Source organism: Homo sapiens, chromosome 17, assembly GCF_000001405.40.
Source record: "Homo sapiens chromosome 17, GRCh38.p14 Primary Assembly".
Classification (NCBI taxonomy): domain Eukaryota; kingdom Metazoa; phylum Chordata; class Mammalia; order Primates; family Hominidae; genus Homo; species Homo sapiens.
This window is the reverse complement of record NC_000017.11, coordinates 49035284-49058180: the sequence shown is the minus strand read 5'-3', so window position 1 is coordinate 49058180 and position 22897 is coordinate 49035284. Positions and strand designations below refer to the sequence as shown.

Genomic DNA, 22897 nt, shown 5'->3' with positions numbered 1-22897 from the left:
ACCTCAGGTGATCCGCCCGCCTTGGCCTCCCAAAGTGCTGGGATTACAGGCATGAGCCACTACACCTGGCCTTGTTTTTCTTTAGGATATTTATATTTAAGTGACCCCTTTACTAACTTGTATTAATTATAAGTTTATTAAGGGCTGGATACGGTGGCTCACACCTGTAATCTCAGCACTTTGGGAGGCCGAGGTGGGTGGATCACCTGAGGTCAGGGGTTCAAGACCAGCCTGACCAACATGGTGAAACCCCGTCTCTACTAAAAATACAAAAATTAGCTAGGCATATTGGCAGGTGCCTGTAATCCCAGCTACTTGGGAGGCTGAGGCAGAATCACTTGAACCCAGGAGGCAGAGGTTGTGGTGAGCCGAGATAGCGCCATTGCACTCCCACCTGCAAAAGAACGAAACTCCATCTCAAAAAAAAAAAAAAGTTTTAACTTTTTGGACTTCCTGAAAATGCAGTATTAATTGCAAATAATGACTATGCTTTTTATATTAATACTTCTTTTTTTTCCATTTAGTATCTTACTGTATTGTCCTGCCCATAAACTTCAAAATATAGTTATGTAGTATCTTTGGGGTTTTGTTCTTGATCTTAATGGATCAGTTCAGTAGTCAGCAGGAAGTATATTTGGACTGATGATTTGAATTAAGAGTATCTTTTTTTTTTTTTTTTTTTTTTTTTTTTTTTTTTTGAGACGGAGTCTCGCTCTGTCGCCCAGGCCGGACTGCGGACTGCAGTGGCGCAATCTCGGCTCACTGCAAGCTCCGCTTCCCAGGTTCACGCCATTCTCCTGCCTCAGCCTCCCGAGTAGCTGGGACTACAGGCGCCCGCCACCGCGCCCGGCTAATTTTTTGTATTTTTAGTAGAGACGGGGTTTCACCTTGTTAGCCAGGATGGTCTCGATCTCCTGACCTCATGATCCACCCGCCTCGGCCTCCCAAAGTGCTGGGATTACAGGCGTGAGCCACCGCGCCCGGCCTAATGAATTAAGAGTATCTTAATCATGTTATTAAAATATTTATTTAGGGCAGGCGTGGTGGCTCACACCTGTAATCCCAGCATTTTGGGAAGCCAAGGCAGGTGGATCACTTGAGGCCAGGAGTTTTGAGATCAGACTGGCCAACATGGCGAAAACTCATTCCACAAAAAAAAAAAATTAGCCAGGTGGCCAGGCACGGTGGCTCACGCCTATAATCCCAGCACTTTAGGAGGCCAAGGCAGGCGGATCACAAGGTCAGGAGTTCAAGACCAGCCTGGCCAATATGGCGAAACCCCATCTCTACTAAAAATACAAAAATTAGCCAGGCATGGTGGCAGGTGCCTGTAGTCCCAGGTACTCGGGAGGCTGAGGCAGGAGAATCTCTTGAACCCAGGAGGTGAAGGCCGCAGCCAGCCAAGATCGCACCACTGCACTCCACAGCCTGGGTGACACAGCGAGTCTGTCTTAAGAAAAAAAAAAAAAATTGCCAGGCATGGTGACACATGCCTGTAGTCTCAGCTACTTGGGAGGCTGAGGCAGGAGAAATCACTTGAACCGGGAGGTGGAGGTTGCAGTGAGCCAAAATCACACCAGTGCACTCCAGCCTGGGTGACAGAGTGATACCCTCAAAAAACAAACAAACAAAAAACCCCAAATTGGGGGAAAAAAAAATGGAGAGGGCAGGGTCAGAATAGACCTTTCCCTTTACAGGAAACCCAGAAACACAAGTCACTTACATGTTTTTTTCTTAGGGTAGGTGTTAGGAAGAGTGACACACCCTCGTCACTTCTTGGACAGCTACTTCTCTGCAGTGATGTCCCAACATCTTCTTTAATGCTGGAGTCCTCATTCCAAACACCTGACCTGCCCCCCTCCCAATATGCAAAGCTAATTAAGAGCAGGGCACCATTTAAAAACCACTCCTCTGTACATTTAAGAAAAATGCCTACTTTGCATTTGGATGACTCAGGTCCCTGAGAACCAGGGCTCCCATGCTGAGGCTGAGCATCTCAGCTCCCAGACCCAAAAACCCTGAGACACAGACATACTTGTCTTTCAATATAAGTTTCCTTTTATTTTGAAATTGAAACAGCAAAATGAAGTGGTTTGTGGCTGAAACAACCTTCACGGGAAAGAAAACTGGAGTGTTCGTTCATCCATCAAAGAACAAACTCCAACGTGTGAGCCAGCTGCCCCACCTCCCCCAAAGCAATGAACAGATTAAAGGATGGGAGGAAGGATACAATCAAAATCGGGTGGTGATGGCTGGCAGATTTCCAGTAAAATACAATTTTCAAAGTTGCCGCAATTACAGAATAAGCTAGCACTCATATTTAAAAAAAAAAAAAAAAAAAAAACTGTCCCAAGCAGTAGGCCTCCAGCTCTTCCCAATTTGCACTCATCAAAATACATCGTTCCCTCTTCTGAGTAAGTGATGTTTCAGAACTGCTTACAAATCCACTTTGCCTCAGGGGAGGAAGCTCTTTTGATTCACTCTGGTTTTGGGGACCAGGATCAAGATCCTGGAGAAAAGGGAGACTCCAAATGGTGATAGAGGACGTTTATTCATTATGGTAACACATAATCTGCTGAAATTCATTTTGAACGTGCTTTTACATAGCAGTGGCTAACATAAAATCTGCACAGAAATGTTACAAGTGGCTCCCCAGCCCCCACAGCCGGGAAGTGCCAGTCAAGATTTAAGCATCCCCAAAACAAAGCCTTTATTCCTGGGGGAGCTTATTGGCAGGGGAGGGGGGACAGGGGTGACTGAAGTCAGCTGGCTGGGAGGGGAGAAGGGAGAGAAGCACAGGAAGGACTCACTGGCAGGAATAGGGTGGGGGATGGGGTGAGACAGGCCAGGGGCAGACTGTGAAAGCTGTTACCTGTTGGAATAGCTAGCACGTTATCTTAAACAAGTGAAGAAAATCGCCAAAGAGTGAAACTTATTTATGGGGGAAAAAAAAGCTTGGGAAATTAAAACAATCCAGTGGTCACTGGAAAATGTCTCCCTTTTAAAAAAAAATTTTTTTTTTTGGTTTTTTTTTTTTTAATTTTATTTTTTGGAAAGTATTCTCAAGGTAATATTTTTTTCCTTTGGAAAAAGAAATCTTTTTCCCCCCCTAACCTAAGCAAGTGGAGCTGCCACTACCTAATTTATCTATTGTTTTGCTAAGAGGTAGATAAAACAAAAGTGAAATGGGGCTTCTATGAGGAGGTCCATTAGAGGGTGGGTGGGGAGGGGCTGGGATCGCCCAGTGGAACTCCCCCAACTACAAAGACGGCCTGAATGAGTCCAAGGACCGCGCCCTCAGACTCCCCCAGGGCAAAGGATCCTGCTTCACCTCTTCTCCTTCTAGAGCCAACTGGGCCCCCATTGAAGACTGAAAAAGGGCCCAATGGAGGTGTAGGATCTCAAAGAAACCCTGTTGAAGAGGTCTCAGCTCTGGTTTCCCCAGGCTTCCTGACTTTGGGGCTGTGTGGTGGGTTCCAGGCCAAGCCCCAGGTCTCACTCCAGCCAGCCCCCTCTAGAAGGGAAGAGGCCATTCCTTTCCTCACCATCTGGTCCAACAAAGCTATAGAAAGTGAGAGAGGGACAAGCTGGAGGCCAAAGGGGTGACACATGGGCAAGGAAAGCAGAAAGTGGGGACCTCATGGCCAGCCCTCCCAGCCCAATCGATATGGGGGGGATCCTGGCAGGCCTGCCTGTTCCCCAAGGACAAACCTTTTGTGGCACAAGCCTCAACTCACTTGTCCTGGCTGGGATTCATACCCTTATGCATGAGTCCCTGCCCTTAGTTCCAATCTTACTGTAAGGATTGAGGTAGTTAATCCATTTATACTCGTAGCATCCATCACCTGCGGTTAATCAAAACACATGCTCCCGAGGAGCTTCCTGCTATTTCATTCAAGAAAAAAAATTTTTTTTCTTTTGTCCATCCGGAGTCAACCATACTAAGGCGCCAGCAAAGGCGCCATCAGACTGTGCCCCAAAGCGGTGCACAGGACCGAGGGTCAGGGCTGGGGCTCTCGCCCCTAAATCCCCCTTCAGACATGAGGCCTCCTCCCTGTCCCGTACCCCGATAGAGAAGCCTTATGTATCCAAAGGAAAGAAACTGCAGTTTTCAGCTGGTGTTACTCTAAGTCTGAATACAGAGAAATGTTCTGCATCTAAATTGTCGAGTATTTGGAAGGGAAATGGCTTTTATGTCCCCTGGCATTGATGAGGATTTTTCTTCAATCTTCCTGCAATTACTGTGACAGGCTGTGCTGTTTCCCTTCTACTGGTTTTCAAGAAACAGGCAAACAGTCGAGTGGTTTGAATGGCAAAGCCACTAGGATCTCCCCATAAACACTTCAGGGGAAAGAAAGGAGAACCCCCACCCCTGATGAGAGGTGGGAGGAAGGGGTTGCCTAGAGGCACCAGCTTCTCCTGTGGAGCAAGAAGGCTCAAGCAGGCCCTCTGGGGCTCTGTGAGGTAGTTACTAGCACTGCTGGTTCCCAGTTTGGCAGAGGGTATGTCTGGGTTGGGAGGAGGGGAAGGCACCCTTGAGAGCTAACTGAGGCCCCTCCTCACTGCCCGTCTGCCAGGCCTGAAGGGAACTCGGCAGTGCTATCTCTGCAGTAGGGGCAGGGGACAGAGCAGTCCCACAACAGGGAGCTACCTGGAGCCCCAAACTTCCTCTCCTTCCCCAAAGTGCAACCAGGAGCCGACAGACCAATTTCTCGGCTCCCTACCCCTTGGCTTGGCAAACACCACACCCTAATCCCCCAGGAGCCTCTGAAGGGAAGGGCCTCGCCCTTAGCTCCCAGTTTCCAGGAGGCCTTCCTCCTCAGACAGCCAGGTATGTGTCGAAAGCTGGCTATTGCTTTGATTCAGGAACAGCCTCTCTCAGCCTCTGTCTGTCTGTCTTTGGCACAGAGGAAAATGGACACAGAACCAACTAGAGCATCCCCCTCCAGTGTTCTCTGGGTTTTAAATGGGGTCTTTTCTGCCAATAGTGAGGCATAAACAAGGATAGCTCCCAACTGCCTCCAGAAGGAGGGGGTCAGGAAAAAGGAAAAAAGATTGATAAGGACTGGGAGGAGGGGAGGAAAGTAGAAAAGGGCTATAAAACTCCCTGTCCTTAAAAATGGCTCTCTCCTAACCAGACCCCTCACAGGAGCTGAGTCCACAACCCAAACTGCAAAAGGCAACCAGACCCGAGAGGGGATTAAAGCCATTTGGGGTGTAACTGGCAGATGCAGCTTCAAAGTCAGTCAGTGAATCAAACCATTTTGGTTATGTGTTTCAAAGAATTTAAAAATATATCCTAAAGAGATGGTCCTTTCTTAAAAATATATATGTAGCACACACACACACATATATATCTTAGAGCACAGAAGCATTTTTTTTAAGTCACTCTTCTCAAATCATCCAAATCTCCCAAGTGCTTTTCGCGATAGCTTGTTATCTCACCAAGGATGGGGAAATGGAGGTGCTGAGCAGGAGGGCAAGGAGTTGCCCTAAGACCTAGCCTACGGGGCACAAGAGGGCCCGGCCCACCAAGACAGGTCCTTCATCCCACTAAACCTTAACCACCAAACCATGCTCCTTTTGCTTTCTGGTGGTATAACTTACATGATTTTCCTGCTGGGCAAATATCAACAATGAGTGGAGCCTTGCCTAATCCAAGCAAGTGAAGTTTTCCAGTCCCTTGCCACACACTTCCTCGTCTCTTCTGGGAGCTGAATCAGCCAACGGAAAAGGACTTGGGCTCAAGGTGTGAAGGGAGCAGGCCCCCAAGGAAACTGAACACTGCAACAATCACATTTCAGGTACTGTGGGATTTTTTTTTCTTCCTGATGATAGTCTGAACCAGATATCAAAGCATGCTTGCTGCTGGAAATTCGCTTTAAATTACTAAATGGCCGACGTCTGAACGTTATCTGCTTTGTTTTGGGATAAAGCATATAGAGCCAGAGATGGAAAGCTGGGAGACCCTTTTTATGGTTGGGACAGGTGGAGAGGCTTAATTCTACTGGCCTGATGTTATCCCTAAATGTTTTTCTGCTTCTATTCAATTTGGGCCAGACAATTCTGGGGGCTACAAGGGAATGTCCTAGGGAGAAAATGATAAGGCAGGAACCTGTCCCAGTCACGTCCCCATATCCCCTGCCCCTCCTTGCCACCAGCCACCCTAAATCAAGAATTCCCTAAGTTTGGGTCCACTTTTAAAATCAATCAGACCGATCTAAAGAAGACAGGGAGACAGAGGTGGGGGCAGTTAACTAGTATCTGTTTGCCCCTTAGATCTATGGATATAGATTAGGAAGAATAGCAAGACGGAACTGAAATGAAACAATAACAAAAAAAAAAAATGAAAAGCATTGCAATGACAAACCAGGTGGACCTCTCTGAGGGCGAGAGGGTGGCCTTGTCTTTTTTCCACGAACGGAATCTCAGCTCCCATATTTTTAGACAGAGAAATATAGGTTTTTTTAAAGGGTATATTTTTTAGTTATTATTTCTCTCCTCGATAAAACGGAGGCAATATTTTAAAATATCTCAACAGCACCACTGGTGGGAAAAGCTGGCTGAGATGCTCTTTAACCAAAGGAGGAAAGAGAGGAGACCAAGGGCCAGCTGGTTGGTTGTTGGGCATTGTTTAACCACTGAGAGCCCCCAGCTCCACTAGGCCTTTTAATCCTATCAGGTAGGATATTCCAGCAGCCGCCAGCAGCTGGGGCTCTAGAAGTCAGAGATCAGGGCCAAACAAGGCTCTGGGCTCTGCCCCTCTGGGCTCTCTCAAACCTGGGCCTTCCCTCTTAGCACTAGCCTCCTCCTAAGGGGGCAGCCCCCAAAGCCTTTCCCACCAGGCCTGTTCTCCATAGAGAGTTCCTAAAGGGTTACTGGCTCATGTTGTAAGAAATTATGAAACATAACTTTCTTGTTTTTTCTTTTCATTAAAAAAATAAAATATTCAAGACTATCAGCTTCTCTTTTGCTTTGCTTTTCTTTTTTATATAAAATATCAGCAAGCTGCAAAAAAACAAAAATCAAAAAAAAATTTTTTTAATGGGGTTGGGGGGAACAAAAAGGAAAATAATTGCTGAGGTAACTTCATACCTTGAGGTAGTTTACTTCGCACACAGCATTGCCTGACTACGCCCACATGTTGCGGTTGTCTTGTTGTTACTGTTGTTGCAATGTTGAAAGGAGGGGAACTCCACGCATGGGCTTTTCCATATGTAGAGAGGCCTTCCTCCCTTCCCAGCACACTTGATAGCATTGTCCAGGGTAGCTAAAGTGCATTACCTGGCTAATATGCATTGTCAATCAGTATATTAGGAGGAGAGGCCTAACCTCATTTAACTGATGGCTTCTGTCTCCCACAAGGGCTAAACACTCCATGGGATCTTAATTAAGCCTGGTAAATTAATAAATTAAGCTTATTTACCCCTTGCTGTACAATGCTGCTGGTATTCTGAATTGTTTTTTAGACACACCTTTCATCATGCTGATAATGATTCATGGAGACAGAAGCCGTCAGTTAAAAATTCCTCTCAGATACAAACAGAAGCAAGTACTCTCCAATTTACTGAATTTGCCAGATGATGGACTTTAGCTTTATCGGGAGCTCAGGGTTGGGTTCCAAGTCCCACCACCAAGGTAACAGTGCCGTGGCTGGGAGTGCCCCACAACCCCTGCCTCTAGGAACCAGCCCTTATGGGAGCACATGGGCTGGGGTGAGGGCACCGTGGCAGCCTTTGGGGCCACTCAAGTCCTCCATGGAACCGAGACTTTATCAAGGGGAGTTAGCGTCCCCTTCCCAGTGCTCATATCCAATCATTAAAATAGACTTTAAAAAAATATAAAATCCGCCTGAGAACGATGGGAATCAGGGACAGTGGTCAGCCCCTACCCTGCTGAGCATTCAATACCACCTATGTGCACCTGGACATAATGTGAAACCTACACGGGAGAGGGACATGAATGTGGTGGGGAAGCCCCAACAGAGTGGGGAAATTTCAGTTGTGCCAATTTGAAGATGGTGATCTGGCATAGATCAGCCACAAGTGCGCTCCTTTTAAACGTGGATTATTATGTATTTTAACCATCTTTCTCCCCATTTTCCCCTCTTCTTCATTCCGTATTGTACCTATTGGTTAGGGAGTGATTGGAATTAATCTACAGATACTGACAGTTCTTTTCCCTTGAGTCAATACTGTAAGCAAAGCAATGCATTCGTTCGCATTTTTTTCTGGTAGCAATAAAGATAAAAAAATTAGTGTAAATATAGAAAGAGGCCGTAAATGGAGGTATTTTAATCAATTACCCAAGTAGGGGGAAGAAGATTGGAAAAACATTAAGGTCAAGAAATGAACCATCCTTTAAGGCTGATTAAAACACCTCTCTGCATGTTTTTAAAACCTGAAGGAAATTTTATTTTTCTTCCCACTGAGGTGTGATCCACCCTCTTGGTGGGGCCTGGAGAGCTTCTTTAAACAATCCACGTTTAAAAGTGCCTTGCGCTAGAATTTCTGACACCCCGAGGGGCAGACAGTGTTGGGCCAATTGGGTGGGTGTTTGGGGCTGAGAGATCAGGGTTCCTCACTGGAACATCTTTCTCAATCAAGTGGGCAAACCTGATCTACAGCCCGGCCCAGGTGTCCCGGATTCCCACTCATTCTCAGGCCTGCCGGGGAGAGCACACTCTCGATTTCTGCCCGTTGTTGTCCTGGACTCGAAGGGACAGGGAGGGGCTGGTCACTTCCTCCGTGCCTGGGCCTGGTTACTCTGTCCCTTCTGATGCTGCTGCTTAACCTGGGCCAGGATGTCTCGGATCTTCCGTTGAGCCATCTGCAGCAAGAACAGGCAAGAGAGTGGGTGTGAGACCTCCAAGGAGACAGCCTTCCACGGAAGAGAGGTCATCAGGTCCAGACACAGGCAATAAACAGAACAGGTCACACAGGACTCAGAAGAAAGATAAAGAGGAAGAATGAGGGTTGGGGTGACCTTACATTTCTTTGCCTCCAGTGGAGCCTGAGTATCCCCTGGAAAATACAGCAAACGTGGTGGGTGTTAAGTGGGAGATGGGGTTGGGGGACTTGAAGGAAGGAGAAACAGTAGTATCAATCCATTCATCAGAATTTAAAACTTGACAAAGTTGATAAACATTACCAAACGCAAAACAGAATGCCTAGAGTTTCTAGGCAGAAATATATTACATATTGCAGAGCAGTGGTCCCCAACTGTTCTGGCACCAGGAACTGGTTTCATGGAAAACAATTTTTCTTCCACGGATGGAGGTGGGGGTGGGGAAGTGGTTTCAGGATGAAACCTCAAATCAGCATGCAGTAGATTCTCATAAGGAGTGTGCAACCTAGATCCTTCACATGCACTGCGCATCCCTCGAGCACTTCACAACAGGGTTAGCCCTCCCATGAGAATCTAATGCCGCCCTGATCTGACAGGAAGCGGGGCTCAGGAGGTAATGCCCACTCGTCTGCCGCTCACCTCCTGCTGTGTGGCCCGGTACCAGTCCGTGGCCCGGGGTTTGGGGACTCCTGTTGTAGAGGGTCGTAACTTAGAAGACATCATCACAAATCCACGCTTCATTTTAATACCCCAGGAAAAGGAATAATATGTCTAGATATGGCCAGGTGCACGGTGGCTCATGCCTGTAATCCTAGCGCTTTGGGGAGCTGAGGCGGGTGAATCACCTGAGGTCAGGAGTTCGAGAGCAGACTGGCCAACACGGTGAAACCCCATCTTTATTAAAAATACAAAAATTAGCCGAGCGTGGTGACGTGCGCCTGTAATCCCAGCTACTTGAGTGGCTGAGGCAGGAGAATCACTAGAACAGGGGAGGCGGAAGTTGCAGTGAACTAAGATTGTGCCACTGCACTCCACCCTGGACAACACAGCGAGACTCCATCTCAAAAAAAAAAAAAAGTAAAAATAAAAAATAAAGTCCAGATATGGGTTAGTCAAAAAGCATAAATACATAAGCTTCACTGTAAAAATGGACAAAATACCCAATCTTTTATTATTTCCTTCTTAAAAGGTTCTTCCCTAAGAATAAAGTTTTATAAAGGAAATAAACTGCAAAATGGGATTCACTTCATAGAATGAAGACCAGAATGTCTCCTTTCCATAAATGAGTGCTTCCTTTCCTGGTTAAAGAAGCAGCTGAGGCTGGGCATTGTGGCTCATGCCTGTAATCCCAGCACTTTGGGAGGCTGAAGCAGTGACATCACTTGAGCCTAGGAGTTTGAAACCAGCCTGGGCCACATGGTGAAACCTCATCACTACAAAAAAATACAAAAATTAGCTGAGCGTGGTGGTACCTGCCTGTAGTCCCAGCTACTTGGGGGGCCTGAGGTGGGAGGATCACTTGAGCCTGGGAGGTAGAGGCTGCAGTGAGCTGTGGTCACACCACTGCCCTCCAGCCTGGATGGCAGAGCGAGACCCTGTCACAAAAAAAAAAAAAAAAAGAGGAAGTTGATCTAGGTTGGGAAAATAATGTGTAAGTCAATAAGAGGTCCAACTCCATCAACCCTGGCTTGATGTTTTACATAGCTTTTCATTTAATTCTCATTCTGATCAGCTAAAATTGCTTCAGTGTTTAATATTAATATATCCTGGCTTTATGCATCTTTGGAGGTATCCTTTACTCTCTTTAAAAAAAAAACGCTGAATTAAAGATTCACATTTACCCTCTTAAGCTTCATTTATAAAATGAAATTGTTGTGGGAATTAAATGAGTTAATATACATAAGCCACATAAAACAGTGCTGGGTATACAAAGGCATCGATAAATCTTAGATATTATTATTATTATGGCTCTTATTAATACTTTTTTGTTATTTTATATATATATATAGTTGAGATGTAACTAAAGCCTCTTGTTAATACTTCTCAAAGGGTTATCAGAGAAAGTTACTTATCCAAGGTCACATAGCAGAAAGGCTATGTATGTGAAGTTTGAGGTCAAAGCTCCCTGGATCCAAAACCTTCATACTTGATGCTATACTATATGGGCACTGGAAGCCAAAAAACCAAGAGCCAGTTTGCCCCAATTGCTCTAGCAGCCCCAGCAGACCACAAGCCTGCTAAGATCTGGATATCTTCTATGAATTGTAGGAACTGTGATCAACAGTCTCCAAAGTTCCTTTCCAGTTCTAACAATGATGGATTTAAGACTTTAGGAAAACACCATTAGCTGCCAACCACCTGTTTGCTTGCCTTGCTGAGGTTCAGCAAAATTTGAACCTGATATTGGCCTTCCCTTCCATGCTCTGGAGCCTGTCCGAGTGCTGAACGGCAATGATGAGTTCTGGGAAAGGAATGGGAGGGTGGAAGAGCAGAAACCAGGGAGAGAACAGCCATTCTGCGAAAGGCAGAGGGACTACATTTCAAAAATGCCATCAATCCAGGGTGTTAGTACTGTTATCATTATTCCATGAACAAAACTAATCTTCTTTCTTAACCAGTGCAGAAAGGGGTTAGGGAGGGACTAACGTAGAACATATATATATATATTTACATATAATATATATTCATATATATGTTATTTATATATATAATGTTATACACAATATATGTACATTAAACTTGTCAAATCACTTTTCCTAGAGAGTAATAAGAGGTAATATGTCATCTACACATCCCACTTCTGCACCTGAAAGAGGGCAATAACCTAGCCTAGAGGCAGGCAGATGTGGCTGAGGCCCCAGGACTTGTCAACGTCATGAAGGTCAACCTCTATAGAGTCTCTGCTTCTCTGCTCCCTGGGCTCCTGCAGCCCTCCCTCAATGGGGGAGCACCATATGTACCTGACTGGCATAGAAATGTCCGATGATTTTCACGATGACCTGGTCGTTCTCATCAGGGGTCTGGTCTCTTGGTACTACCACCTCAGCTGCCGTCAAATTCTGCAACTCGTTCACCTGGGGGTGGCCAGAGAGGAGCTCAGGGTGCCATCAAGAAAGCATGGGTGGGGTTGGAGGGAGGAGCCAGGGTGACTAGTGGGGAGAACCTGGAAGAGTCAGGACCTGAGCTTGGGGAGTAGAATCAAGTAAATGAGCAAATCAGGAGTCCTGAGGTTGAGCAGTACAGGAGACCAGAGAGAGCTGCTGAGATTGGAGACCAAGGCCCAGGGCTTTCAACCTGGCCCTCACAGCTCACCGTTTTTCCACCTTTGCCAATGACCCGGCCAGCTGCTGATGCTGGCACACGTATGTGGGTCTCCAGCTTCACTTCCTCCTTGGGACCAAAGAAGTTCTCCTCCTTGAGTTTGCCATAGATTCTTCCCTGAGCCTGAGAAGAGGAGGTAATTGTTAATCAGTGGTTCATATATCTGTGACAAAAGAGAAAAGTGGGAAAAAGGAAGCTCCAGCCCATATTTTCTGGCCCACAGGCCCTCCCCATCCTAGGCGGGCTAACCATCTAAGGCAGGTGAAGGGCAAGGCTCAGGTGGGCAGCTTGTCAGCATTCCTTCTGCTTAGCTATCATACTGGAGACCCTGGGTGGAGATTATGAGTTATGAGTAATTGAATAAACACTTCCCAAGGGAAAAAATAGTTCCCAGAGGAATCTAATTCACAAGCTACAAACCAGACCTATGGAATCTGGACGTGGCACTGACCAGCATTTCAAGGCCCTGAATGGCAACTAATCAAGTCACACAGAGGGCAGGCCTGTCTGACTCTCCAGTGGCCCAGAGAGCTGTCCCAGTCCTCTATCCTCACATATGTTAGGTTAAGCTAGTTGATGGTTCATTTTTTGGCTGTCTGATCAGAAGTTCAAGAACCTTAGGATTTAGTGGGGACATAAAAGATGAGAATTTGGCATTAAAGGCCTTCCTTAGAAATGACAGCAGAGTGCAAATAAGATGCCCTCAGACTTCTTTCCTTCCCATCTTCTTCTGTGGACCTTAAAAAGGGAAGACGAAGTCAACAGAAATCCAGTTTGATGTCAATTTGAAAATAGCTCTGCAGCCCTTTATCCTGCATGGAAGGCTTAAAGATGTGATGAGGACTTGACAGCTAACGGGAAACTGACCCAGCCTTTTTCCTACCTCAGGGGAAATACCCAACCTCAATTCCTCCATGTTCAGCTTGGAAAACAATAAAGACCAAAACCTTGAATTGGGCCTCTGGCGGTCCAGTGATGATAACCATACGAACTTTGGAGTCAGGTGTTTCGGGTGGTGCAATCTAAAAAGCAAAAAGCTAGTCAATGAGGGACCCTCTATGGGAAGACCCCCACCATGTCCACTTCATCCAGTTCCCCTTCTACCACCCTTACTCCCAACTACCCATTCTGAAGACTTAGGGGAGGAAGAACAAAGACCCTGAAGCCCACATCATTACGCCTTCACACCAGAATTATTAGGAGGGCAGAGGTGGTCAGTTAGAAGGATTGGCTTCAATGACACTTTCTAAGTAGGGCCTCCTGCCCCCTCCACCTACCAATCTCCCAGAGAGGTTTCAGTGGAGTCTTGCCAACAGGCAAGGACACAAATGAAATGACCAACGGATAGAGGGCAGTGACTGCACCTCCACTGGAGAACAATCAAGGTTTTTGCTCAAAGCTTTTAAGACAACTAAAGCAACCGGATTTAGGTTTGTGAAACTCTAACAGCATCCTTGTTTCACTATGACAGATTCTCCCTTCTCTCTCCCCTGGACCTTGGCCAGGGAAGGTGACAGACAACTAACACTTACTTGGTGTTAGTATGTGAGCGAAGGGCTTTGGCTGCGTAGCCTCATAATATTGTACTGACGAGGAAAGTGAGGCTCAGATCATATAGTGTATTGGGGGAAGGGGTGATGAGATGGATCTTGGATTTGAACCCATCAGTTTGTGTTAGAACCTAAGTTCTCTTTCTATGTTATAACCCTGCCCCTGCCCAGCCTGAAAACCCAGAAGCACTGAAGCCATCCCATGGGGACCAAGCAAGATCAAAAACAAAGAGGACTTCGATTCCATGGGGGAAAGGTCCCTCATATGACACACAGAATTCTCAAATGAGTAGGGGGAATATGGGAGAAAGTGCAGAGTGATAAAAGCAGAGACCCCTCCCTTTCCAGAAACAGGAAGACCCACAGAGCAGATCACCTTGATGGAGGCGCTGGCAAACCGGGAGAGCTGTTTGATGTGCTGCCCCTTCTTGCCGATGATGGCGCCCACTGCCTGGGCGGGGATAAACACCTGCACCATCTCCTGCTCGGGAGCCTGCTGCCAGGATAGGAGGCGTTGTTACCAGGGGGCCCAAGTAGCATGGCCCAGAAACCCTCCACTCCCCTGCCTTGCATCCTCAAGGAGGAAGGAGTACAGGCACCAAACCGCCACCCTGGGCTGCCAAGGGATGCTGTGAGCTCTTTAGCTCTTCCTATGCCCAGTAGGGCTAAAGGGAAGAGGCCAGGAGAGAGTAAGGGAACAGTGCTGTCTATGCCCCGGGAGCATTCTAGGCAGACATTTGGGAGCCTCAGAGCCAGTGGCTAGGAGCACTGGAGAGGAGGGATGCCTCTGAGACCTTCCTTCCCTCTCCCTGCAAACTTGCCAAGCATCCAACTCCCAGAGCATGCTGAGTCCCCCTTAAGGGAGGCCACATATGGGCCCAGGGATCCCGTGTAATAAGATCTTCCACCTACCATAAAGGAGCTATAGGGAGCAGCCCCAGTAACGCTGCTGGGAGGCGGCGGGACTGCGCTGGATGAAGCTGGGAAAAGACCTACAGCAGCCAGGTTCAGGCCAGGGATCAGGTGAGACTGCAGCTGGGGAAGAAAGATGAGGAGGAAGAGTCAGCACACCCTGACAGGGGCTTGTGTGTGACCCCCGCTGTATAAAAGGCGAGTAGCCCCAGAGGCAAGTGGGCCAAAAACATGAATTACATACTTTTCCACAAAAGCCTATTCTGTGCTTTTCATACACTCTCACCTACACACTTCGGGTGTGGAATTTTAAGTGATATGATGTTCTCACTGGACTAACGGCTAGCAATTGCAACCAGAAATGCCAAACAGTTGTACACCCTCAGGAGTCCTTCCTCTCTGGCTGTTCAGACTGCTGGAGACAGACGATAGACCCATGACACTATACTATAACCCCCTATATGAGAAAAAGGCGTGGAGACAGAGCTCCATTGGACTTCTAGGACTCTGATTCTAAACATTTTTGGTCCTGTACCCCAACCCCAAGTCTCCTTTAAAAATCAGATGAGTTGTGTGCAGTGGCTCATGCTTATAATCCTAGTACTTTGGGAGGCCAAGGTAGGAGAATCGCTTGAGCCCAGGAGTTCTAGACCAACCTGGGTGACACAGCAAGACCCTGTTTCCAAAAAATAAAATTTTAAAAAATTAGCTGGGCATGGTGGTGTACACCTGTAGTCTCCTAGGTACTTGGGAGGCTGAAGCAGGAGTATTCCTTGAGCCCAGGGGGTCAAGGCTGCAGTAAGCTATGATTGCGCCATTGTGCTCCAACCTGGGCAACATACCAAGACCCTGTCTCAAAAAAATAAAATAAAAATCAGATGAAAACGATGGACCCCCTCATTTCAATAAAGTGCACACAAACACAAATTGTACACATACTTGGAATCACAGGACTCAAAGCCCAAGATTGGACCCCTACTCTAGGAACCAGGTGAAGAATCCTTGCTAATTAAATACTATTTAAATACTATTTCTGATAGTCGAAGTCCAAAAGCATCAACTAAAGCTCCAAGGCCACACGGCACAGGGCACATGTCCATCACCCTGCACCCCACAAGCTGCTGTTGCTAAGACTCAGGAAAGGATAAGCAGAGGGTACTACCCAGCACTCACGCTCATGGCAGCCACATCATTCTCATAGGCCTCCCGAACTTTCTTCATTATTTCCTGCTCGGCCCTGCAACAATTCTCGATGGCCCCCTTCACAGTGATGGTCCTCTCAGGGTTGTAAAGGGTAAGGTCTTGCAACCTGGCAGAAAGAGCAGAGTTGTGTCCTTTCACTGGCAGGCCAGGACCAGGCCCCGGCAGTAACAAAGACGAGAGGCCAGCTGAGTCACAGGCCCACCATTTCTGCAGCCTATTCAACTTCTGGCAAATAACTCTGCAACCCCAGTCTTTGGTGTTCCCAGTTTGTAACCAGGGCAGGGGGTAAGATGGAGGGAGATGCCAACACCTAACTCAAACTCCTCTGTTAGCAATGGATCCAATCTCAGATTATGGTTGTGCCTCCAAGTTTCCCCATTGATTCTACATAATCCATGTCCTATACCTTTTTGGACAAGAGCAATTACTTTGCCCACAGGTTAGTCTCTGATGAAACGAAGCACACTGCTTGCAGGAGCAGCCCACCACAGACAGAAAAGGGCCAAGGTCACTTCTCACAGTGACAGACAAGCCTAAAGCCCTGAATCCCTGGCTCCTAGCTGCAGGCTGTCCACGAGCCACAGGGAAAGAGGGCTGTGAAGTGGTTGGACGTGGACTGTAGAGGCAGCACCTTACAACACCCCTGCCCCATATGGCAGTGGGAATGGGCAGATCCAGTCCTTACAGGGATTTTTTAAATGCTCTTTACCACTTCGACTGTTTTTCTTCAAGAGGCAGAAGGAGCACCCATTTTAAAAGAGCACATATCAAGGTTCCATGATGAAATACTGACCCTGGCCCCCATGCATCCCCCACTCATAAACAGGGAAATAGAAGAGAGCCTTACGAGGAGATGGTGATTTTTGTCTCGGTATCTTGCTCTACCTTCTTCAGGTTCCGTCCTTCCTTGCCAATGAGACGCCCTACAAAGTTATTATGGGCCAGGATCTTCAGGGGAACCTCGTCAGCCCTTGGGAAGACAAAGGAAGAAGTGGAAGACAAGAGTTCCTTCAATTGTGGGCTTCATGAAGACTCAATCACCATGCCACCCCAGACTTGGCATTTCCAAGTAAAACATCTCAAAACTTATCAAACTGCATACTTTAAAAATATGTATGATTTATTATACATCAATTGAACATCAATAAAGCCAATTTGTTTTATTTTTTGAGACAGGGTCTCACTCTATCACCCAGGCTGGAATGCAGTGGCACTATCAAGGCTCACCACAGCCTTGACCTCCTGGGCTCATGCGATCCTCCCTTCTCAGCCTTCCGAGTAGCTGGGACTATACGCACAGGCCGCCACGTCCAGCTGATTTTTCTATTTTCTGTAGAGGTGAGGTTTCACTATGTTGCCCAGGCTGGTCTAGAACTCCTAGCCTCCAAAGTGCTGGGATTAGAGGCATGAGCCACCGTGCCCAGCCAATAAAGCTATTTTAAACAGCACAAGTGTGTAAAGGAACATGTGTAAGCAGATTCCTTGCATCACTGTTTTCTGATAAGGAAAAGTTTAAAACAATTTAAACACCCATCAAGAAATAGGAGATTGATTACATGAACTATGAATAGCTATACTGTGGAATTCTATGCAGCTATAAAAATAATGCGGTCTGTCCATATGTACTAATATATGTGCTGATACAGAAAATGAAAAAAGTATAGAACAGCCTGTTCAGTGTGATTCTCTCTGAGCTAAAACACATGTGCATACACGCACAAGTGAATACACACAGGCACACATATCCGTACATGCAGGCACGCAGACACAATATACACACACCTGTGAGTGCACAGAATTTCTAGGAGGTCATACGACAGGAATAAGAAGGGATGGGGTGTGGTGGCACACGCCTGTAATCCCAGCTCTTTGGGAGGCTGAGCTGGGTGGGTCACTTGAGTCCAGGAGTTCAAGACCAGCCTGGGTAACATGGCGACACCCCATCTCTACAAAAATCACAAAAAACTAGGCAGGCGTGGTGGTGCATGCATGTTGTCCTAGCTACTCAGAAGGCTGAGGCGGGAGGATCCCTTGAGATCCAGAGGCAGAGGTTGCAGTGAGCTGAGATCATGCCACTGTACTCCAGCCTAGGTGACAAAGTCCTGTAAGAAGAAAGATTTTATTTCTCAGTTTACATCTTTTTGTGCAATTGCTGACTGTATTTCTTATATGTCTGTATAAAAGCTTGAAAGTTGAGTTGGGGAGGCTCAACTGGACTAGCAGACCCTGAAGATCCAAGAAAAGCTGGAGACTTACGTTTTGGTGTCCTTAGCCTCTTTATGCATAATCTCCAAGATCATCTTACAAGCGGAGGAGCAGCCCTCAGGGGTGGAGTGCACACTGATGGCTTTTTCAGCTGCACCTGCGTTCTCCTTCCTATGCACGTCTATCCTGGGGGCCACAAGGACAAGGCTGGTTAGTTGTCCCCAGTGATACCAGTACTTCAGGCTCCCCACCCCACTACCCCTCCTCAGTCAAAGGCATAGAACCTGCTCTTCTTGAAACAAGGACAATCAAGTACAACTTTGGGAAGGGCAATGAAAGGACTGGAGAAATATGACCCGTCTGTTACTGTGGATTCTGTCTCAGACCAGCAGTGTCTCAATCCACAGGTGGTTGGTGGCCAGGCACGGGAGCTCACGCCTGTAATTCCAGCACTTTTGGAGGCCGAGGCGGGTGGGTTACTTGAGGCCAGGAGTTTGAGACCAGCCTGGCCAGCATGGTGAAACCCCGCCTCTACTAAAAATACAAAAAATTTAGCTGGGTGTGGTGGTGCACACCTGTAATCCCAGCTACTAAGGAGGCTGAGGCACAAGAATTGCTTGAACCTGGGAGGAGGCTGCAGTGAGCTGAGATCACACCACTACACTCCAGCCTGGGTGACGCAGTGAGACTCTGCCTCAAAAAATAAAATAAAAATAAATAAATAAGCAAGCAGTGGTTGGGGACAAGAACACAGCCTATGACACAAATGCAGGGGTGGGAATTACCAGCCCACAGCTCCAAAGCTGCATTTCCGCTTGAATTCCGTATGTCCCCCTTGAAACAAATATAAAGAGAAGACACAGTGCCCCAAACTCAAAGTAAATAACAAGATTTACTATGATAAGGACATAATATGACCTGTTCTTTGCCACTGAGTACACTGATCAGATATAAAGATTAGAGAAAAGGCCGGGTGTGGTAGCTCACGCCTTTAATCCCAGCACTTTGGGAGGCTGAGGCGGCCGGATCACGAGGTCAGGAGTTCGTAACCAGCCTGATCAACATGGTGAAACCCTGTCTCTACTAAAAATACAAAAATTAGCTGGGCATGGTGGCACGCGCCTGTAATCCCAGCTACTCGGGAGGCTGAGGCAGGAGAATTGCTTGAACCCGGGAGGCAGAGGTTGCAGTGAGCTGAGATCGCACCACTGCACTCCAGCCTGGGCAACAGAGCAAAACTCTGTCTCAAAAAAAAAAAAAAAAAAATATTAAAGAAAGAAGGTGGCAGTGGCAGAATGGGAGATGGGACACAATTATGAAGGTCCTAATTTTGGACAGGTTGGCCAGCCCTGTTACCACACTAAGTGATCATGAAATCACAGAGCACTGAGTTGCTGACTCATCAAAATGAGGTTTGCTTGGAGACTTTTTTTATGAAACTTCACATGAGAAATTATAGAATCTCTCTTGCTAATACGAGTGTGTGGCCTAGCACCCCAGACCCATTCTCCCTCCCTATCTGCCCTCCCTTTCCCAGGAGGCTGGTATTGGAAGCAGGGACCCCTGAATGCTCCAGGCAACATTTCCTAAAAGGTAAATGTTGATGTCTCCAGCATGCTTCCAGGAGGCCTCTTTAGGTACCAACCACTGTTCCCTAGCACCCAACCTCCATTCCCCAAGAGCCAAGACTCACTTGGACTGGGTCTGTTTTGTGATGTTGCGGATGGTGGCCCCCTCCTTGCCAATAATGGCACCCACATACTGGGTGGGCACCAGGAGCCGAAGGGGGATGTCCACTTGCTGCTGCTTGGCTGGGGCCCCCGCTGCCACAGGTGAGCCCTGGCGGGGCTGACCCCGAGAGCCAAAGCCCCCTCGGCGCCCATTCTCAGGTCCCTGTGCTATCTGCTCATCGGGGATGTAGGAGACCTTCAGGGCATGGTTCTCCAACTGGTGGCCATTCAGCTTCATGATGGCTCTGGGGACAGAGTGAGAGTCTACAGGTCATTCCAATCCATGCCAATCATACCAGATGCTCTCTTGGCCAAAGCACTCTAGTAAGTTACAGCTTGGAACACACTAAAGAAAAGGAGATAGTCACCTGCCCACTACCTCCACCTCCATTTTTCACAACTTTCCAGTCTAAATGGCATCAAAGACTTCAAAGGAAAAGTAAATAAATACAGTGTTCCCTAACACTTAGTTGGGATTTATTGTTCACAAAGGCTTTCCACTGGAACCATCAGAGAAATGGGCTTCCAGTCCAATAGAAAGTATAGGGTTCTGCTAGCCTAAAAAGGAAGAGCAAGCCATAGATCTCAAAGTACTCCCATGCCAACTGGAAAGCCTACCACAGACCTGAAGAGGCTCCACAAAGCTAACACATACACTTCCCGGATTGAGGAATCCCTACTACAGGGTGAGGAAACCAACTGCTAACTACTACATACTCCTAACTTTAGAGATGATGAAACCAAGGTCAAAGGAGATTGAAATGTATACATGTAGAATTCAAATGTTAATCCTGCCCTAATGAAGTGTGGGGTTTATTTTCGTTTTTGAAATAAAAGATCTTTATTTCAGATAAAAATTAATATTTCCATAATTAGGATAAAGCAAACACACATTCTTGAGTCCATTATTTAAGGAAATTTATACTATAAATGACTTCCATGAATATTAGAGTTCCTGAATATCATTTGAATATTTGCCTACAGGCTTATGGGAAGTTTCTGTAGCCTTCTCTTTGTAGAAATTCCAGTTTTTCTGAATTCTTCCTTCCTTCAGGTATTCCATTTTGCATTCTTCATAAAAGGCTGGATCATTATAGTGAGCAGTTAGACGTCCTTTCAATAGAGAATTTTCTTTCCAGCATTTTCCTACCGTAAGGGTTCCAGAGTTCTTGCAACATTTGGTAAAATCTTGAAGTTGTTCAGAACACCTCTCTCTGGCCTTTTCTCTCATTATTTTAGGGATCCAAACATCTTTTTCAACATGTCTGAGATGCTGCTTCAAAACTTGCAGCGTCTTCCCATTGTTTTTTATATAAAATTCAAACTCCTTGAAATGCTTGAAATGGTTTACATGACATTTCATAATTCACAACTGAAACCCCTCCATAGCCATGGCACACACTCCTCTTTGATCTCAATTCTTTCTTGTGGCCTTTGCTTAAGCCACTGTTTTTTGTTTTGTTTTGTTTTTTTCTTGAGACAGAGTTTTGCTCATTGCCCAGGCTGCAGTGCAATGGCGTGATCTCGGCTCAGTGCAACCTCCGCCTCCCGGGTTCAAGCCTCAGCCTCCCGAGTAGCTGGGATTACAGGCATGCGCCACCATGCCCCGCTAATTTTGTATTTTTAGTAGAGATGGGGTTTCTCCATGTTGGTCAGGCTGGTCTCCAACTCCCGACCTCAGGTGATTCGCCCGCCTCGGTCTCCCAAAATGCTGGGATTACAGGTGTGAGCCATCGCGCCCAGCCCAAGGCACTGTTTTTCAAATTTCAGGGCAACCCATCAGAGAGTTGTTAAATTAATCTGCCAGGTTGAACGCCATCGTGGCGGGTGTTGAAGCAGCAATTGAGGAATTCTTCTAATGAGCTGCTGGTGCACAAAAAAAAACAAACATGCAGTCTCGAAATTTTAGCTCCTCCGCAGTCCCCCATTTTTTTTTATTATTTTTTATTTTTTTATTTTTTTGATGGAACGCTTCACAAATTTGCGTGCCATCTTCGCGCAGGGGCCATGCTAATCTCTGTACCGTTCCAATTTTAGTATATGTGCTGCCGAAGCGAACACCTCCGCTGTCTTTTGTGCTACCTCTCCTTCCAGAGTCTCCAGAGACCCCTAACTGCCCACTTGGCTCTGGGGCCACAATCTCGCAACGCTCCCCAACCCAATGGGGTCCGCCAGCACGGGGCTGTAATACCACACACCACCAGCAGATGCCGCAGCCCCAACACTTCACAAAGCTAACTTTCAAAATTACAGCCATTTTACTACCTGCTATATACTTGCCAAGCGCTATGCCGGTCGCTTCCAGTCAACCCCGGTCGCTTCCAGTCAACCCCGCACCAGTTGGCCCAGCTGGGAAATGCGGTCACCGTGAGGATTAAGTTAGTAAAATGGTACACAGTGCCTTAAACAGTGACCGGCTGGCCGTGTCAAATTACCAGGCCGAGACCAGCCTGGAGCCGCGGCCTCCACTCCCGCCTAGTGCAGTCCCGGGCCCTCCCACAAGGAGGTCCGGCCCCCGGGGTTGCCTTCCAGCCAGTTGGGGCTTTTGCCCATTTTCCTATCGCCTGCCACCAAGCTGCTGCTACGTATCCCGGCTGGAATCTGACTACCCCTCCAGCAAAGTGGTGGGGGGCGGGCCCGGGTCAGGGAGGCCACATCACCAGCTTCCTGCAGGAACTTCTAGAAGGCGAGCAGCCCGGAAAATGGCATGGGCGGCCGCCCAGGGGAGACCTCGGAGGGCAAGGCATCCCCGTTCCCAGGTGCCCCAGCCACCCCCACCGCTGCAGGTGCACGCCCGCAGGGAGGCGCCATGTGGTGGGGCCCCACATGTGTGTGGGGAGACTGCGAGGTCCCAGCCTACCCACCGCAGGCCACTGCCCCAGACCGCTGCCACCTCCCAGCGCACCTCGCATCCGCATCTGCCCAGGCTCCCAGGGCAAAGATAACTGAATTAGGACACCAGTATTCCAATCTTAGTTCTATTGCTCACTAGCTATATGAAGCAGGAAACTTACAACCTAGTCTAGACCTAAGTCTCATCAACTGTAAAGGAAAACTGATACTTGTGCCCTGCCTACCTTACAGCTAATACATTTAGGTCTGTAATCCATTTTGAATTAATTTGTGTGT

At 47.2% G+C, this 22897-nt stretch overlaps 1 protein-coding gene and 1 pseudogene across 10 annotated transcripts in view, besides 1 other annotated feature; both read right to left on the bottom strand.

Annotated features, from left to right (window-relative positions):
- The window catches only part of IGF2BP1 (insulin like growth factor 2 mRNA binding protein 1), a 59588-nt gene continuing 38726 nt past the window's right edge, over positions 2036–22897 (bottom strand). For 4 of the 10 annotated variants that reach the window (XM_047435139.1, NM_006546.4, XM_047435143.1 and 1 more), the window contains 10 exons: positions 19732–20013; positions 18090–18224; positions 16681–16803; positions 15804–15939; positions 14631–14753; positions 14095–14214; positions 13116–13190; positions 12160–12291; positions 11808–11921; positions 2036–8829 (listed from right to left, as the gene is read on the bottom strand). In XM_047435139.1, the coding sequence (XP_047291095.1) occupies positions 8737–8829; positions 11808–11921; positions 12160–12291; positions 13116–13190; positions 14095–14214; positions 14631–14753; positions 15804–15939; positions 16681–16803; positions 18090–18224; positions 19732–20013 (1333 nt within the window). In that variant the 3' untranslated portion in view covers positions 2036–8736. The remainder of the gene's footprint in view (positions 8830–11807; positions 11922–12159; positions 12292–13115; positions 13191–14094; positions 14215–14630; positions 14754–15803; positions 15940–16680; positions 16804–18089; positions 18225–19731; positions 20014–22897) is intronic. The other 6 variants (XM_011524201.3, XM_047435141.1, XM_047435140.1 and 3 more) reach the window with 4 other exon arrangements.
- Positions 8195–9104: an enhancer, noted in NCBI's record as "H3K4me1 hESC enhancer chr17:47126439-47127348 (GRCh37/hg19 assembly coordinates)". NCBI's record gives its function as "activates a minimal SCP1, AML or CMV promoter by ChIP-STARR-seq in naive H9 embryonic stem cells {active_cell/tissue: H9 hESC(naive)}" and the evidence as "EXISTENCE:reporter gene assay evidence [ECO:0000049][PMID:30033119]".
- RNU6-826P (RNA, U6 small nuclear 826, pseudogene) lies at positions 21732–21829 on the bottom strand (annotated as a pseudogene).